The sequence below is a fragment of the Homo sapiens genome, chromosome 15 (assembly GCF_000001405.40).
Source record: "Homo sapiens chromosome 15, GRCh38.p14 Primary Assembly".
Taxonomy (NCBI): domain Eukaryota; kingdom Metazoa; phylum Chordata; class Mammalia; order Primates; family Hominidae; genus Homo; species Homo sapiens.
The window spans coordinates 73,333,282-73,350,030 of NC_000015.10; the positions used below are offsets into that span (position 1 = coordinate 73,333,282).

At 52.7% G+C, this 16,749-nt stretch overlaps 1 protein-coding gene and 1 long non-coding RNA gene across 3 annotated transcripts in view, besides 2 other annotated features; one reads left to right on the top strand and one right to left on the bottom strand.

The window, feature by feature from the left end:
- HCN4 (hyperpolarization activated cyclic nucleotide gated potassium channel 4) overlaps positions 1-16,749 on the bottom strand; it is a 49,100-nt gene that overhangs the window by 13,423 nt on the left and 18,928 nt on the right. The window contains exon 2 of one of the 2 annotated variants that reach the window (NM_005477.3): positions 10,104-10,527. In NM_005477.3, the coding sequence (NP_005468.1) occupies positions 10,104-10,527 (424 nt within the window). Of the gene's footprint in view, positions 1-1,787; positions 2,208-10,103; positions 10,528-16,749 lie in introns of those variants that run through there. The other variant, XM_011521148.3, reaches the window with a different exon arrangement.
- LOC105370890 (uncharacterized) lies at positions 1,979-11,903 on the top strand. Its single transcript, NR_188273.1, has 6 exons — positions 1,979-2,051; positions 2,198-2,363; positions 7,732-7,784; positions 9,032-9,214; positions 9,989-10,301; positions 11,775-11,903. It is a non-coding gene; the product is annotated as an uncharacterized LOC105370890 (long non-coding RNA).
- Positions 10,140-11,339: an enhancer, noted in NCBI's record as "CDK7 strongly-dependent group 2 enhancer chr15:73635762-73636961 (GRCh37/hg19 assembly coordinates)". NCBI's record gives its function as "activates an origin of replication core promoter dependent on BRD2, BRD4, P300/CBP, MED14 and CDK7 cofactors, with strong dependence on CDK7, by STARR-seq in HCT116 cells {active_cell/tissue: HCT116}" and the evidence as "EXISTENCE:reporter gene assay evidence [ECO:0000049][PMID:35650434]".
- Positions 13,524-13,724: a silencer, noted in NCBI's record as "peak2386 fragment used in MPRA reporter construct". NCBI's record gives its function as "represses an SCP1 promoter by STARR-seq MPRAs in K562 erythroleukemia cells {active_cell/tissue: K562}" and the evidence as "EXISTENCE:reporter gene assay evidence [ECO:0000049][PMID:32103011]".

Here is a 16,749-nt window from a genome sequence, read left to right on the forward strand (position 1 = left end):
TCTGGCCTTGCTTCTGTGGCCTGGGAGACTTTGAAGTGGGTCTAGCCACCCAGCCCCCATTCTCATCCCTCCATACTATTCCCAGGCAAAGACACCCCTCTTGGAGGGGGGCTTGGGTCAAATGCCACAGAGACCTAGTTTAAGCCCATTTCAGATGTGGAAACTAGGCCCAAACAGACAGAGCCTAGATATGTCAGCCCCTGTCTACTGGTCTTCCAGCTACAGCCCTGTAGCTAGTGGCAAGCTGTTCTGATACTAGTGACCGAAGATGAGTACTTTTTGTCCACAGCTCATCACCTGCAGTCACCCCCACCTGTGGCCCCCATCAAGGGCATGACCCTGAAGGTTCCAGCTACAAAGCTGGGAGTCTTTCCAGGATGAAGTGGACAGCGAAAGGTTCATGGGGTCCGGTAGCTTAAGCTTGCCCCATCATTTCCCTGTGGCCCTGGTGACAGAGGGGACAATAGTGCCACACCTGACTGTGGACATGAAATTCCACAGCCATCCTCTATTTAAACTCACAAAAATCCTTTGCTGAAGATATTGTTCATCTGTTTTATACCAAGGCTCAGAGAAGTACAGGAACTTGCCCAAGATCACGGTGGCAGTGGAAAGGCCAGATGTTGTAGCCAGGTCTGCCTGATTCTGAGGCCTGTAGCCACCATATTAGATTGTTAGATTGACCTAGTGAGGAAAGGGTAGCTCTCAGCAGTTCCATTTTGTGGATAAAACAACTCAAACCCAAAGTGGCTGAATGAGGTGCCCAGATTCACACAGCAAGCTGGGTCCTAGGCCAGGTGGGAATTGCCAGCTTCTCGCCTCCCCAGCCCCTGCACACAGTGTGATGGTGTAGACGGTGCTGTGTGCCCTGCAGCCCAGTACCACTGGGGCACAGACCAGCTCTGGGGCTGTCAGCGTTTGAGCTCCTGGCTAAGCTGACACTGCTCAGCATCTGCCATGGCCTGGAAGGAATGGTGGGCCCTGGAGAGCAGGCCGGTCTGTGGCTGGGCTGGGGCCTGGGTCTGGGACACAGAGCAGATCTGATTATGAATTTGGGGTCTCTGGTCCATTTTCTGTGGCTGGTCATGTTCAGGCACCTGTATCCTAAGACCGTGAGGCTCTCCCCAGCAGGTCCCTGAGCACCAGAGCCCCCAGCACCAGCCGGGGGGAAGATCCCACTTTTGCCTCCTTAATTAACACTTAGGTGAATGTGACATGTCTATGACCCTGGGCAAATCCTAACCTTTCTATGTCTTGGTTGACCAGGATGCCACTAGCTCCCCAGCTCACCCAACCCCCTGGTGTCTGAGCTAAGACACCAGGGGTTTGGGGAGGGCGAGTGACACAGCACCATTCACGGTCTCAGAGCCGGCCATCCTCCACACCTGCCTCCCCACCACCACAACTCAGCCTCCCCCTCAAACAAGCTAGACATCTGCCCCCTGTTTTACAAGATTGCTTGTGAATTAAACTAGCTAGCAAAGTGCTCTCTGCACACCCGTCATAGACGCAAGGGTGGGGCCATTATTATTAAGCTCCTTCTCTTCCCAGCTGCTAGGGACTGCACCTTTGTGTCCCTCTCAAATTCCTACGTTGAATTCCTAACCCTCGAGGTGATGGCATTTGGAAATGAGGCCTTCGGAAGGTCATCAGGTCATGAAGTTGGCACCCTCATGAGTGGGATGAGTGCCCTTATAAAAAGAGACCAGACAGAGACGATCTCTTTGTCCTGTGAGGGCACAGGGAGAAGGCGGCCGTCTACAAGTCAGAAAAAAAAAAGGCCTTACCAGAAGCCCCCGTGCTGGCACTCTCAACCCAGACTGCCAGCCTCCAGAGCTGTGGGAAGTAGTGTTTGTTATTTCAGCGCCCCCAGCCTCTGTTGTTTATGTTGTCACAGCCTGAGCTGACTGAGACACCAACCTTCAGAACCCAGCCCTCTGCCACAGACAGGAAAGCTGCGCAGGAGGCCAAGGGTACTGGAGGCACAGACGGGGGCCCGTGGGGGCAGGACAGCAGCCTCCCCGAGGCACATGGCTGAGTGCTGAGCTGGGGTAATGAGGCAGGCCTGCCCCAGGGTTGGAGAGTCCAGGACAAGGGGCAAATCAGGTTCCACAAGCCACAGATTTGGATATTTAAAGTCGTAACTCAAGCCAACAAACTGTTAAAGAAAATATATTCTATTCTCCTACCTTGACAGAAGGCACCATCGTAATGCCCTGGAGGGCCAGACTTGAAATGAGAACTCTTACAAAACCACACCAGAGCACAGCCCACCTCCCTTCTCTTCCCTGACTGTGCCCCCCAGCAGAGGACCCTGGCCCACAGCCAAGCCACATCCATGCCACTCCTGCGAACAGCCACTTGTAAGTGGGTCAAGGGGTGGGCACAGAGGCAGAATGGTCCCCTCAGGACATCCTGGGAACGGCCCTGCACAGGCCTTGACAGCAAGCTTAGAGGTGTCTGTGCCAGGAATGCTGGGTACCCAAGTGTGGTCAAGAAAGAGTTGCAAAGAGCCCCCAGACTCCTCACTGTGGGGAGAGGAGCCTTCCGGAGTGGGGGCCAGTGGGGCCCTTCTTTCCTGGGTCTCGGGGCAGTACCCTTAGAAAGACCCAAATGTCTATGCCATGTCCCCTGGAAGTCAGCCTGTGTCAGTGCCCAAGAAAGCCCCCCTCCCTATGGGGGTCAGGGAGGAAAGTCTTGCCCTTGCTTGCCCAGAGCTCATAGTCTGGCTGGGGAAGGAAGCCGCACCCAGGAAAGGGACTTGGGAACATGTATATAGAAACCCAGCAACAGAGGAAGGCAAGCAGGGCACAATGGGGAGGTGAGTAGAGAGGCTGGTCCAGGCTCTGAGCACCCCCAGCCCAGATGCTGCTGTGGGGCTGGACAGCACGGCTGGTAGCAGAGCCCACAGCCACAAGCATGCCGTTCTCCTCCCACCCCTGGCTTGTCAAGGCAGCAGGAATTCTGCTGAAAGTTTCTTTAGTTGAGGAGGGTATCAAAGTCTAGGGCATCTCTGGAAGCACCCTGAGTGGGGTCTCCCTGGCTAAAGGGCTCCCCAGGATGCAACTGTGTTGCCGCCATCACAAGGGGCTGTGGAGACCGGCAATGCTCCTCCTCTGATGAAGGCAACCTTCCCTGTGCTCCTCTTTCAAGCCCTGGGATACCCCCAGTTCCTTGCTTCTGTCATGCCTAAGACACACAGGTGGACTCAGAGTAACACAAATTGGCTCGTATGTCCAGCTGTCTCGGTCTATCTCTACGTGGACACATCCAAAACCTGTTTCCATCTCACAATTGGTGTCGCTGTTCGTGAGGCTGAGCAACAAAAACCCACCAGCCAGCCGTGAGTGAGTCTCTCATCCCTCCCCACATCCCATCAATCCAGGTGGTTTTGGCTCTACTGCCTAAGTGGACATCTCAAAGCCATTTACTTCCCTCCAATCCCAATATGACCCCAATCTAAACACCCGCAAGATGACAGCCCCAACCTCTTGATGAGGCTCCCCGCCCCTCCAAGCCACTCTCAACCAAGCAGCTAGAAAGACCTCTTGGAGACATAAATCAGACCATGTCACTCTCTTACCATAAACCTTCCAATGACTTCCCACTGCACCCATGAATACACTCCAAATGCCAACTGTGGCCCTCGGCATCTCGGCTCCCAACTACCGGCCTCCCTGACTCTGCCCAAAGCCATCTCTGGCCACAGCGGCCTTCCTTCATGTCCTTGAATGCCCCAGGCCAGTTCGTGCTTGCCCCAGGCCCTCAGTACTGGGCTTGCTCTTCCATCTGCCTGCGTGCTGCCTCCAGCTCCTTCTTGTCATCCTGTCTTGGCTCAAAAGCCACTTCCATGGAAAGGAAGGACACTGGATCCCTGTGTGTGACACAGCCAAGGGCTCTCCCTTCCCATTCTCACTGTGACTCTTTGCCCTGATGAATTTCCTTCCTGGAGTTCTCACTATCTGAAATGACATTCACTGACTTGCGTGCTGCTGCACGAGGCAGGGCTCCTCTCTACTTCTCACTTCTGTGTTCCTCCATGCTTAGCACAAGCAGGCATCAAAAATATCTGCTGATTGCCTGAATAAATGCGCGTACATCTAAATGAATGAGTGGGTACCATATGGGAGCTCAAGGAAGCCTCCGGGCATGGCTAGAAAGAGTCCCAGACTGTCACAGGCCACAGTAACTGCTCCTTTGGACAGATCACGCTGGGCCTTAAAGACAGAGCATCGAAGGTGGCATGTTTTCCTGCAATGACCTCCTTTCCTTCTGTATCGCCTTTATCTTTTCATTACTCCTTTTCTTCTAAGATCAGGTCCTTGTCTAATTGTGCCTTTATCGTGATCTCAGCAATGAACACGGCACAGAGCATGTGGTAAGGTTTCAGGAACTGAGAAGGGCTTCGTGATGAAGGTGAAGGCAATGGTGACAGTGACGAGAATGGTGGTCAGCAGGGCTCCTGCTAGTGTAGACAGTGGAAGAACAAAAAGGTACCCGCTCTGGGCAGATGCAGCCCACAGGGAACCTACCCTTGTCCCTGTGGGAAGAACCAAGGTGCCTTCTCCTGCAGGGGACACAGACTTCCGTGTCCTACTGAGAGCATGGTGGTGGTGAAGCCTGGAACTGCGGTGAGGAGGACTGTGGGCACTGGGGTGGTGGGTGCAGGTGGCAGGGCTGGAGAGGTGTGTTTCAGGTGGTTTTTAGACACCACAAAGCTGGAGCGCCAACAACGCACAGTCTGAGCTGCCTGGGAAGAGCTGGTGGGGGCACATCCATTCAGGTTAGGGGGTGCCCTAGATTTGAGGACACTCACCTCACCTGCACCACTCTCCAGCACCTGGGAAGTGGTTGCCGAGAACAAGGCTGGACGTTGCTGGGAGAGGCTGCTAAACACTGGTGTGTCCCCACTGTTGGCTGGGGCCACAGGCCACCGGAGAGTCAGTTGCACCAGGCAAATATTTGCCTTGCTCTTTATATTTCATTAGAACTCCCTCTTACGATGTTGGTTCTGACTGCAGGGGTTGAGCACCTTCATTTCCAGGCCACTACAAGCCTTGCCCGTCAGGCGGTCCAGGCAGCTCACTCTGCCACACATGGAACTTGGGGAAGCCCTGCTCTCACTCCTTCTGCAGTTTCTCAACTGCAGTGCAAGGACAGAGCCACTGCCTTTTCCACCCCGAGCCTCAGTTTCCTCATCTGTGGAATGGGTAATTGCCAGATCTCAGGGCTATCATGGGGGTCAGGTGAGATCATATCCACCACTAGCACATGGTAGGCACTCAGGACATGTTGGTTCCTTTCCTTCCCTCTCTTTCCCAGCCCTCCCAACAAAGAGTTGATTTCTCAGTCCCAAGGAGAGGCCAGAAATTGGAGGTCTGGCTGCTGCTGTTTCCACCAAGGCCTCTTCCTGGGGCCTGATTGAATCCTCTCCTGTGGATTCATTTTCTCCTCATGGAAGAACAACTTCCACCTGTGTCTCAAGAACAAGTGTCTGCGTTGAAGACAGCAACCCCAGGCCTGGCAGAACAGGCTGCTGCATATGCATGCTGGGTGCAGTTTGAAGGCAGCTGCACTGAGGGTCATGCCGGGTCCCATCCTGGGTGCAGGAGACAGGGCCAGTACCCACGCCCCAGGACCTCTCCTTGTGTCATCTCCACTTCTCGCAGATGCCAAGCACCTGATTCTGAGATGAGGCAATCAAGGTCTACAGGATGAGGGGACTCATCAGAGGCCACACAGCAGCCCCAGCTGGCCTTCTGCCTCCAGCCCCTCTTTGGCCACTTCAGGCTGCCAAGGGAGAGGAGAGACTTCTGGGATGGGTCACTGGAGTGCTGAGCCTTGCAGGGTAACGTCCAAAGAAGGGTAACCATGGTTTCTAACAATAGCCTCCATGCCTGGAACAAGCTCACACCTCGGAGGGAGGGAGGAGGCATGGCTGGAGAGGCTCGGGAGGGAGTCTGCTGACCCAGATCGCCCAGGATGGAGGCAAGAGGCTTGCATCCTCCAAGATGGTGGCCCACCTGCGCTGACTCACAAGACTGCCTGACTGCCACCAACACTTAGGAGATCTCCTGGGGGCCTGGTCTGGGCCCGGCTGGGGGAGGCAGTAGAAGCCTGGGGTCAGGAGTCTAGCTTCTTGCAGTGCCAGGCAGCCTGGGGCAAGCTTTCCCCAGTCTGTGGGAGGCAAGCTCCCTAGCCCCAACCGAGGGCATCCTCCTTCACGTTCCGTGAGCTACAACAAGGTCTTCAGAATCAGCTAACATAAACCTTGCCAAGGCAGATGGGAGCTGGGGACTGGGCCCCAGGGAGCCACAGCTTCAGAGAACATCATTATGTGCCTCACAAGTGGGGAAACTGAGGCCCAAAGGAGGAAAGAGACTCATAGAGGGACTTGAAAGAGGAGATTAGGGCAGGGTTTTCTGTACTAAATACTCTCCTCAGCTCTCATGTGGACCTAGGGCTCCAAAGGGTCTTTCTGCTGCTGCCTCTGGGCCAAGCAGAGGTGGGAGAAGCCCCCGGGCTGGAGTGGCCTGCTATGGTCCTGGAGACAGGGTTCCTGGGGCCAGCTGGGAAACCCCAGTCCAATCTCAGGGGTCCAGTGAGAGCCCTAGGCTGGCCAGTGTGCCCGGCAGAAACTAGCTCAAAGCAATTTTCTTCCCAGCTGGTAGGAGAGATAAAGGTTTGTGTGTGGAAGGGTGAGAGTCATCCATCTGGCCTCCTGGGATCTTCTTCCTCCCCACGAGATGGGGCGGCACGTCTAGTTCAGAGGCCTGACTCAAGGCCTCCTGGGGCCTCTGCCTCCCCCAGAGAAAGGCCAGGACCAGCGCCTGACCAGTTCTGGGTGCCCAAGAGGGTGGCCTGGCCAGGGTGGCAGTGGGGACAGGAGCCCTGGGCCTGAGCTCCCAGGATGCATAATGTGGGGACGTGAAAGACAAGCTTAGCTCCAACCCACGACTCACCCTGTCCAGCCACTGGCATCTCTGCCAACTCCTACAAAAGACCACAGCCCTCAGGCCCTGGAGGAGTAAGGTCAGCCCCTGGGAGGCTGAGGCCTGGAGACACGAATGGATGCTGGAGGAGGGAAAGAGCTGGCGTGTCTCTGCTTTTCATGGCAGTCTAGCTGTGGGTCCAAGACATGCAGAAGGTTGGGGGTTTCTCAGGGTCTGAGGGAGCCAACCTGGTCCTACATTTCCACCTGCGACGGAAACCAGGAGACAAGTGTGTCAGAGCATGAGGGGAAACACGCCTCCATCTTTCCTTCACAGCCCCTCAGAGTGGACCCAGCCGCACCCTCCAGAGTCACTGTCCCCTCTCAGCCCTCAGCTCAGACCACCTGCCACATCTCTGCACATCTCTGTCTCACAGGCACCTCCAACTCAACCTGTTGCACAGATCTCCTCCCCTGCCACTGCCCTCCCACTCTCTGCCAACAGTCGTCCTAGTCCTTTGATCCCAGCGCCCACCCAGGCCAGCACAGGTGGGTGCCCGGCAAGCACTTGCTGGACTGAATGAAGTCCAGTCCCCCATGGAGGGGCCCCAGCCATGAAAGGAAACAATCGTAGAATCAAAGTCATTCCCTTTCCATCTGAGAAGGCGGGAAGTGCATGGAACAGGAAGACAGGAGGCCTAGGCCAAAAGCCCTACCACTGGGGCGGCTGGCCTTTCTGATCTTCAGTTTCCTCACTTGACACATGAGGATCATAAATCTTGCCCTGTTTCTCTTGACAGCTAAGTATGGGGAACCAAGGAAATGTTACTAAGACAACTTGGTGGGGAGGGAGGTAGGTGTGTGTGTGTGTGTGTGTGTGTGTGTGTGTGTATAAATATATATATATTATAAATATAAATAACATCTATTTATTTATTTTTTTGAGACGGAGTTTCACTCTTGTTGCCCAGGCTGGAGTACAGTGGTGCGATCTTGGCTCACTCTGCAACCTCTGCCTCCTGGGTTCAAGCAATTCTCTTATTTCAGCCTCCCGAGTAGCTGGGATTACAGGCGCCCACCACCACGCCTGGCTAATTTTTTGTATTTTTAGTAGAGACGGGGTTTCACCACGTTGGCCAGGCTGGTTTTGAACTCCTGGCCTCAAGCAATCCACCCATCTCGGCCTCCCAAAGTGCTAGGATTACAGGCGTGAGCCACCGCGCCCGGCCAGGAGGGACACATATTAAACAGTTCTTCTGCACCAGGCTTCATGCTAAGGCTTTATAAACATCAGGTACAACTTATACCTATTTTGCAGATAAAGAGACTGAGGCACAGAGAGGCAAAGTGGACCCAAAGCTACATGCTAGGCAGTGTGGAGCCGGGATTTTAACTTGGGTCTTAAATGCGCCATTCCACTACACCGGGGTGGGACAGCCCACACTATGTGCTGGGGGCCAAGAGGGCTAGCTGGATTCTGTCCCAGTTCTACCAGAGGTCTAACTGCATGACCTTGGGAGAGTCACGGCCCCTCTCTGTCAGCATAAGTAATGTGAATTTTCCAAGCCAAAGAGAATTTCTGCCATGGAGGGACGCTGCCAAACTGGTGCACACACTTCTCCTATGGCACATGCGTTCATGACGCCTCTGACCATCAGCCATAGGTGCTGCCAGTCGAGGCCCAGGCTGCTGCTGGGGGTGAGCATGGGGGGCTTCATGTCCTGAACATGGGAACTTCTGCCAGGCAAGCAGGGGGTCCTGGAGGCTGGGAAGTCAGCCACGCGGCACAGGGATGGAGCGGGAAATGGCCCTCCATGGAAGCTTGTCCCGCCCACAGGTGGCAGGGATCCAAGGTGGGCTGTCTCACAGAGAGAGTAGGCCCTCCAGGCTGGCCTGCCTGCCGCTGCTGCCAAGTTGTGTAACTTGGGTGGGTGGCAGACACAGACCGAAGCACTTGGCAAGGTCAGCTGCTCTTCCTCCCAGCAAAGCCCTTAGCTCCTCTGCTGCAGATGACTGCTTCAGCCCATGGATGAGTGAGGTTTGTTCACAATGCAGTTGGTCCGCCCAGTTCTTTTTCAATGTTTTATTTTCCTCCTGTAGCCAGTGTTCACAGCCCCTAGGATCCCTTTACAGTTTCTGAGCACAAGACTCCAACTTGCCCGCGTGATTTCACTCTCTACAGCCAGCGGCCGCACCTTTTGTCAGAGGCCTGCCCGGGCTGCTGGAAACTGCTTTGGCTGTGAGTGCTGAGGGCTGGCAGTGCCTTGAACCAATGACTGACAGGTAAGGGGATATAAACATTCCAACTCCCTTGCCCTGACTGGGACAACTCCAAGGTGTGGCGCACACTATCCTCAGATCCCATAGGGCTGAGGCAAACAGCCATCCACAGGACACCCTCCAATGTCCAACCATTGCTTGGCTTCCTGCCTTTCCCTGTCCCTCTCCCCAGTCCCCTTACCAGATTTTCCTGGGAATGCATCCCCAAAACATCCCTTTCATGCAAATCTTTGTCTCAGGTTCTGCTCAGGAAGAACCCAAACTAAGAGAGTTGCCAACAAAATTTGTATAAAAATCCAGATTTCCATTTCTCATAATGCTATAGATCTAGCAACCCTGGGCCCATTCCCACTTGACAAAAATTAGCTGGAGCTGCATAGAGGCCACCCAATATAACGGAGATGTTCTCTAGTTCTTCTCATCCACCACACTGTCTACTGTCCCCCAACTGGCCCTTTTCACCCATCCCTATTCCCTGCCTGTCCCCAACAAGTTTATGGGTTTACAAACCCTACAACATAACGCAGTGGTTAATAATGTGGGCTCTAGAGGTGATCGGCTTAAGTTCACATTCCAGGTTCACAAATTACTAATCATGCAACCTTGTATAAGTCACTTAATATTTCTGTCTGTTTCTTCAGGTGAAAAATGAGTATATACATGTACCTATATGGTTCCCTCTATAGCTGTTACACACTTCATTGAGATACTGCATGTAAAGTATCCAGCACATGATAAGAGGTCAAGAACTTACTAGTATTTGTCCTCTTGGAGCAGGTGTGCCTGCCACAATCTGACAGCCTATGTTCAATTATCTGAGGTTCCCTGCCAGTTCCTCACTCCCTCTGTGGGGAGTGGCCTTTCCCCCAAGAGGTTTGCACTGACCACTTACCTCTTCCCACTGGTGAATATATCGAATGAGGCGGGAGAGGCGTAACAGGCGTAAGAGGCTGAGGATCTTCGTGAAGCGGACAATGCGCAGGGCCCGGGCAGTCTTGTAGACCTCCGAGTCGATGCGTGTCTCCACAATGAGGAAGATGTAGTCCACGGGGATGGAGGAAATGAAATCTACCATGAACCAGCTTTTCAGGTACTTCATTTTAATCCGCTGCGGGTCCAGGATGATCTCTGTGTTGTCCTCCACCACGATCCCTGTGCGGAAGTTGAGGACCAAGTCGATGAGGAAGAATGTGTCTGACACCACATTGAAGACAATCCAGGGTGTGGTGTTCTCATCCTTGAAGAAGGTGATGCCCACAGGAATGATAATCAGGTTTCCCACCATCAGCAGCAGCATGGTCAGGTCCCAGTAAAATCTGCCCAGAGACACAGGGGTCAGTCGCCAGGAAGAGAGAGAGGACAAGTTACAGACTAAGGGAGGAAGATCTGAGGGACAGCATCTGGGACAGAGAAGTCTTGGGAGGTTCTGAGACAGGAAGACAGGCACATGGGTACCAGGGCAAGATGTGGAGATTGGCACAGGGAATGACACAATAAGAGGCTCTTCATTCACTAAGGATACCCTCCGTGCTGCCCTTCTGTGAGTTTCCCCGAGCCCCAACAACAAGCTTCCTCCTCCCATCCCCAGCCCGCAGTAAGAGTCAGGCTGAAAAGCAAATCAGTGACACTCAGAGAGAAGCAAGAGGCTGTTTTAGCAAAAGGAGCAGCTCACCCCACACCACCCCAGGCTCAGGCTAGGCTGCCCCATCCTCCCTGAGGGTCAGCTGTGGCTTGAGATGGGCTGTCAGGGAGACATTCCACAGACCATGACCAAAGAGCAGGGGAGGTACAGACATGACTCAGGTGCCTGGAAGGCAGGAGGCCCAGGCTCCGGCCCCAGCTTTGTCATCAACATGCTATGTGACATCCGGAAGGGCCTCCCTATTCTGGGCCTCAGTTTCCTCACTGTGTAATGAGTCCTATCATTCTGATCTGGCCCTCTCCCAAACTGGTTCTCTGGCATCCACCTTTAGTCCATCCCCTATAATCAGAAAATGTCTGACCATCTCCTTCCCTCAGAGGTTTGCATCCTAACATGGGGGTGTGGAGGGGGAGAGATAGCTTCAAAACAAGAATAATTAATGGGGGGATTTCAGGCACCAGTGAGATACCACTCAATGTGATAGAAAGAGACCAGCCCAGGGCTTCCAGAATCATTTCTCCTAAGGCCTCAGGCACCTTCAAGTCGTTTGTAGAGGGAGCCTCAGGGCAAAGCCTTGGAGAAGTTGAGCAGCATGAGGAGGAGGCACAACACCAACTCACAGGTCTGTGGTGGGTTTCTCCCAACTCACCAAGCAGGGGGCCTTCTGGAGTGTGGAAACAACACAGGTGGCCAAGACCCCAATCCAGAAGGCATGGCCAGTTATTCCCAGGGACCCTGCCCAAGCACCAGCCATCCCAGGGCTGGCCCCAAGACCAAAAACTTGCACTGCAGAGCTGTTTCCCTCTGCTATTAATTTAGACATTTACACAATAACAGATAAAGGTATTAAGTGAGGCAGAAATAAGCATGTCTTCTCCCAGGAGAAATAACCTTTCCACCATCTTTGATTCTTTACTGCAGGGAAGCCAGGAGGAAGGAAGTGGGAAAGAAAGAGATAAGCTTTCCTCGAGTCTTCAGAGGGTCTCACTGTAAACCAAAGTGCCCCTGCCTGCAGAGTTCCAGGTTGCAAAGAAATTACTTCATAGCAAATTGTTTGTTTGTTTGCCAGACTCAAAATGGGGCTGTGATTCAAGGAGAGGGTAGGGCCTGTTTTGCTGAAGGTGGGTGAGATGGCTGTCCTACATCACACTGTGTGGCAAAGGGCAGTTTCCAGAGAGTCAGCTTTCTGCAGCTCCTTTGAAAGCCAAGCTCTTCAGGGCCTCAAGACAGGGCCTTATGGGGGATAAGGCCGGATGCCAAGAGGCCAACTTCAGCTCCTCTCTACCCCATGACCCACCACTCCTTCCTGTGGCCCCAGTACCCATATGCCAGCTGAGAGAACCCAACTAAGGCCTGAGGACCCATCCTCAGCTTCACACTTTACTACAAAGAATGCAGCACACCTGCTAATGAGTCATGGGCCCCAGGAGGATGGTTTCAGCATCTATGGGGTGCCCTAGAGCCGTGCATGCTCTACCCAGCCACATAGACCTCACTCAAAGACAGCTGTGTACACTCATTAGATGCCACACGCAGGTATCCCCATTCACACACACAGTGCACAAACACCCCTCTATACACTCTGCTGTCATCCCTCTTCATTTAATCTCCTGGGAAAAACAAAAGAAAACAAATTTTTTAACTGTGCATAGAAAGGCCACTGAGGGCTATGTGGCCCTCTGTACATAAAGCTAATAATACACCCAGGCTGGAGGAGTTTCTAAAATTAACAGAGCGGGTGCAAGGCGGCTGGGAATGCTGACTCGGGCGGGCCTGCCACTCCAACGGGTTTCTACACTCTCCCCAGCTCTAGTTCCCTCAATTACAGTCCAAATTTGAGAGAGTAATTAACAGGAGAATGTTTGCATTTTGTGGTCTTCATAAAACCAAATTGCATAAGGCAAAAACACCCATTTCCTCGCACTCTGACTAATGGTTTCAATCTTGAGCTTCCAGATGCTCAGGGATATTTCCAGCACTCGATCTGGGCTGGGGTCGGGATCCTGGATCATTCTTTCCCACAAACCACTACCCTGGAACATCACAGAGCTGCTGGAGAGACAGTATAATATGGTGGGAGGAGGGATGGGCCTGAAGTCAGGGTTCGATTCCTGCTCCATGGTTTACTAGCAAGTCACTTTACCATGCCACACCTCAGTTTTGTTATCTGCTCAATGAGGATAACCACAGTACCTGACTAGCAGCACTGTCATAAGGAGGAAATCAATTGATTTCTGTCAAATGCTCTGACCTATGCCCAGCTACATTATGAAATGAGTAAATAAATCATCAAAATCAATAAATTTGCAGGAAAGAGGTAAGAGGGAGGATCAAATCTCCCAGAGAAGAGCCAAAGCAAAACATCTGCTGGGAGTGGGATCACAGAGGAGCCTGTAATAGACCCAGGAAAGCCAGTAGCAGGAGGTCCCTCCAGCAATCAGATGACAGACCTATTTGCCTCAGTACACAGATGCCCTCACCTCCAGAGACTCATGGTCTGGTCAGAGCGCAAGGCTTGGATAGAAGGCAATTGGCAATGGTGTAAGAAACCATCCCTATGAGCCCAGGTATCCGTAAAAAGCCCAGGTATCCATAAAAATGGGATCCCGGTGGCCTAGAAGGGTGAGGCCGGGAAACTGCTTCTGGAGGAGGTGAGAGGAGTTGGGTTTTGGGAACTGCCGTTGGCTTCTGGACTACCTTTCCTTACTCCTTGCCAGATGCTTGCACAGGTCTCCGAAAGCCAGGCCCTGCCAGAGCTAGATATGACGTTCAGCACCACGGACAGCGCCCAGCACACCTGCCAGCCCCGTTCAGTGGGTTTAGCCAGGGGAAGGTGGCAACAGCTTCTACACTGGCATCCTCAGCTTGCTGGCCCCTCTTCATTTCCAATCCTGCTGGTCGAAGCATCTCAAGTGATGCCTTAATATCTCTGAGCATTTTTACTGGGGCTCCTTGGTGACTGAAAAGTCTTTATTCATAAAGACCCCAAAACACTTCACATGTATAGAGAACTTACTTGGGTTTTCCATGCATTACTTCATTTATCCCTCACACTAGCACTGTGGCTGCTGTTATTTTACAGATGATGATCTTGAGGCTGACAGAGAAGTGTCTGCCCTAGACTACACAGCTAGTGAGGGACAGACACAAGATTAGGAGAAGTCTCTGGGACTCCAGAGTTTGAGTTCTTGGGGTTGTGGGTACCCTAGAGGGATGTGGGAGGCAGATATGCCTTTCTGACACCTTTACATCACAGTGGAAAGGCAGCCTACCACAGCAGGTGTGGCCCCTGCCCCAGAGAAAGAAGAGAAGACTGCAAAGAGGATTTGGGGGGCCCATGCTCCTGATGCTAGGGCTGTCTGAGGTAGAGGAAGTAGCACACCTCTCAAGTGCTGAAGGCACCCTGGCCATCAGCAATCACTCGGTCACGGTCACACATGTCCTATAGAAGGGAAAACGAAGGCTCACAAAGGAAGGAAGAGTAACATTTCCGAAGCCTCAAGCTGGATGCCCAATGCTCCCTTATCATCTGGCCACCCCGAGAATCACTCATGAATAAATCTCACAATCCAGGGTGTGAATCCAGGGTGGTGGGTGTAATGCCCTGACAGGAAAGCAAGGGGCAGTCAGGCTCAGATATCCTGGAGTTGGCACGTGCCTGAATTAGGGGCCCTAGTCTCTCCAAATCCAGAGGATCCTCCTCCAGCCCAGTGCCCTTTAAGTTAACAGGAGTCCTGGCCAGCAAGACACCAACTGGGCTCTGGGAGCCCCAGCAGCCCCAGGCTTCCAGACCTGTCTTATCTCAATCCTTACTTCCTACCTGGACCAATGGGTCCACCCAGGCAGGCAGGTGGCCTCTCAGCAGGAAGAGGCAACTTATAGGCTGACACTGGAGGGGCAGGTCCCATATGCAGAAAGAATGGGGGATGGTAAAAAGCCAAGCAGCCCATTACACCGATATCTGGAAATTTCATGTTTTGGTGTGAGAGGAAGTTCATAGCCTCAAGGGAGCTGAGGAAGACATGACAGGAGGTGGCTGATACTGAACTCGGGGACTCAAGGACAAGACTAAGGGCCCTCTCCTTCCCTGGAGGCCAAAGAGGATGGGAAGGGTGACAGAATGAAAGTAGGAAAAGTGGAGGTCCCAGCTAGGGATGACCTCCTTCAGCCTCTTCTTGTCCACACACACCCACGCTTGCCTTTGAGGACATATGCACATATATACACGCATGCACATGTGCACATGCACAGACACGAACATGCGTGCACACACGCACACACACATGCACACCCACATGCAATACCATGAATACATTTTTTGTAAACACGCTCTTGCCTTTTGCCCTCCTACATGCATCCATTTTTACACATGCATACTTTCTTGCATACATTTTGGCACAAATGATATCCACTGGGAATCCTGTCAGCTGGAAGAAGAATGTCATTGTTTTGTCATTAAAATATTTTCCACCTTTCAAGCTAGCTCTTCAACTCTGACCACTGAAGCCTCTGCACAGCCTGAGTCTTGGTTTTAGCTCCTAAAACACCATGGGTTCATGGAGGACAGGGACCTTGTCTCAGACACCCATGTCCCTGCAGTGCTGACTGTAGCCCGTGGGTCTCCACGCTTTCTCCCAGGTGAGCAGCACACTCAGTGCCCCATCTGTTACCCTCTCCAACTTTGCAGACAGCTCCCACTCAGTGCCACTCCCAGCACCAGACCTGCATTCTTACCTGCCTGCAAAATGCATCCACCTGGAGGGCCTGCTGTCTCCTACAGCCAACGACTCCAGAGCTGAACTCAGCATCATCCTCCTCAAAGCTGAATGGCACAGTTTGCATTTCAATAATCTAGGCTCAAAACCTCCCAGCCATCCCTTACTGCTGCCTCTTACCTCCCACCCACCCCTACAGCAACACCCCCAGCAGTCACCATGTCTAGTCTAGCTGCTTCCATGATGGCTTCTGCATCTGTCTCTCAGCTGGACCCTTGCCCCACCTCCTTCCTGGTCTCCAGCCTCCATTCTCATTCTCTCCAACTCATATGCCCTCTGGGTTATCTTTCCCATTCCCTTGGTTTTCCAGACCCAGCAAAGATCCTGACACTGAAAACAGTGAGAATGGAGGAGGATGGCAGTCAATACTTTTTGGACACTTACCATTTGCCAGGCACTAATCTGAGTACCTTATCTGGACTACTTTATTTAATCTTCATTAAAAAAAAACCCCTATGAGGTAGATACTATGATTATGCCCATTTTACAGATGAGGAGACTGAGGTACAAGGAGTTGAGAGATTTGCCATATATGGTGGGCCAAGTATTCAAACCCAAAGAGTCTGACTCCAGAGGCCTGCTTTCTAACCACTCCACAGAAATATCAATCTGGCTGGTGGTATTTTATTACTCCCAAACTCTGTCCCTCCCCAAGCTCCTTGTCTCCCTCCCAGCTCTCTCTCCTGTGCTCTCTTCCATGGCACCTGCATCCTTAACTTCTTCACTCCCAGACCCCACTGCCTCCCCGCTTAAGTGAACCCTAGTTGTGTCCTAAGGACATCACTCTTCCAAATCCCTCATGCCTCAGAATCAGGGGTGAGTCAGCATCCTCCCCTCTCCCTACTGCTGCTACCTCCTGCCTGTGGCAGAAACGTCTACAAGATCTTTTGGGTATCCTTGTCATTTGCTGGCCATCCTTCCAGCACCCATCTGCCATCCTCAAGGACTTTGGCAATGCTGGCACCTGGTTCACAACCTCCCGTTCCACTCCAAATCCTGTGATTGTCCTGGGTGACTTCTACTCCATATCATTGACCCAGACAACACCTTGGCCTCTTGGTAGCTTGCCACCCTGACTCTAACAATCCCACCTCAATGGTCCATTCCAAAGCACACACTTG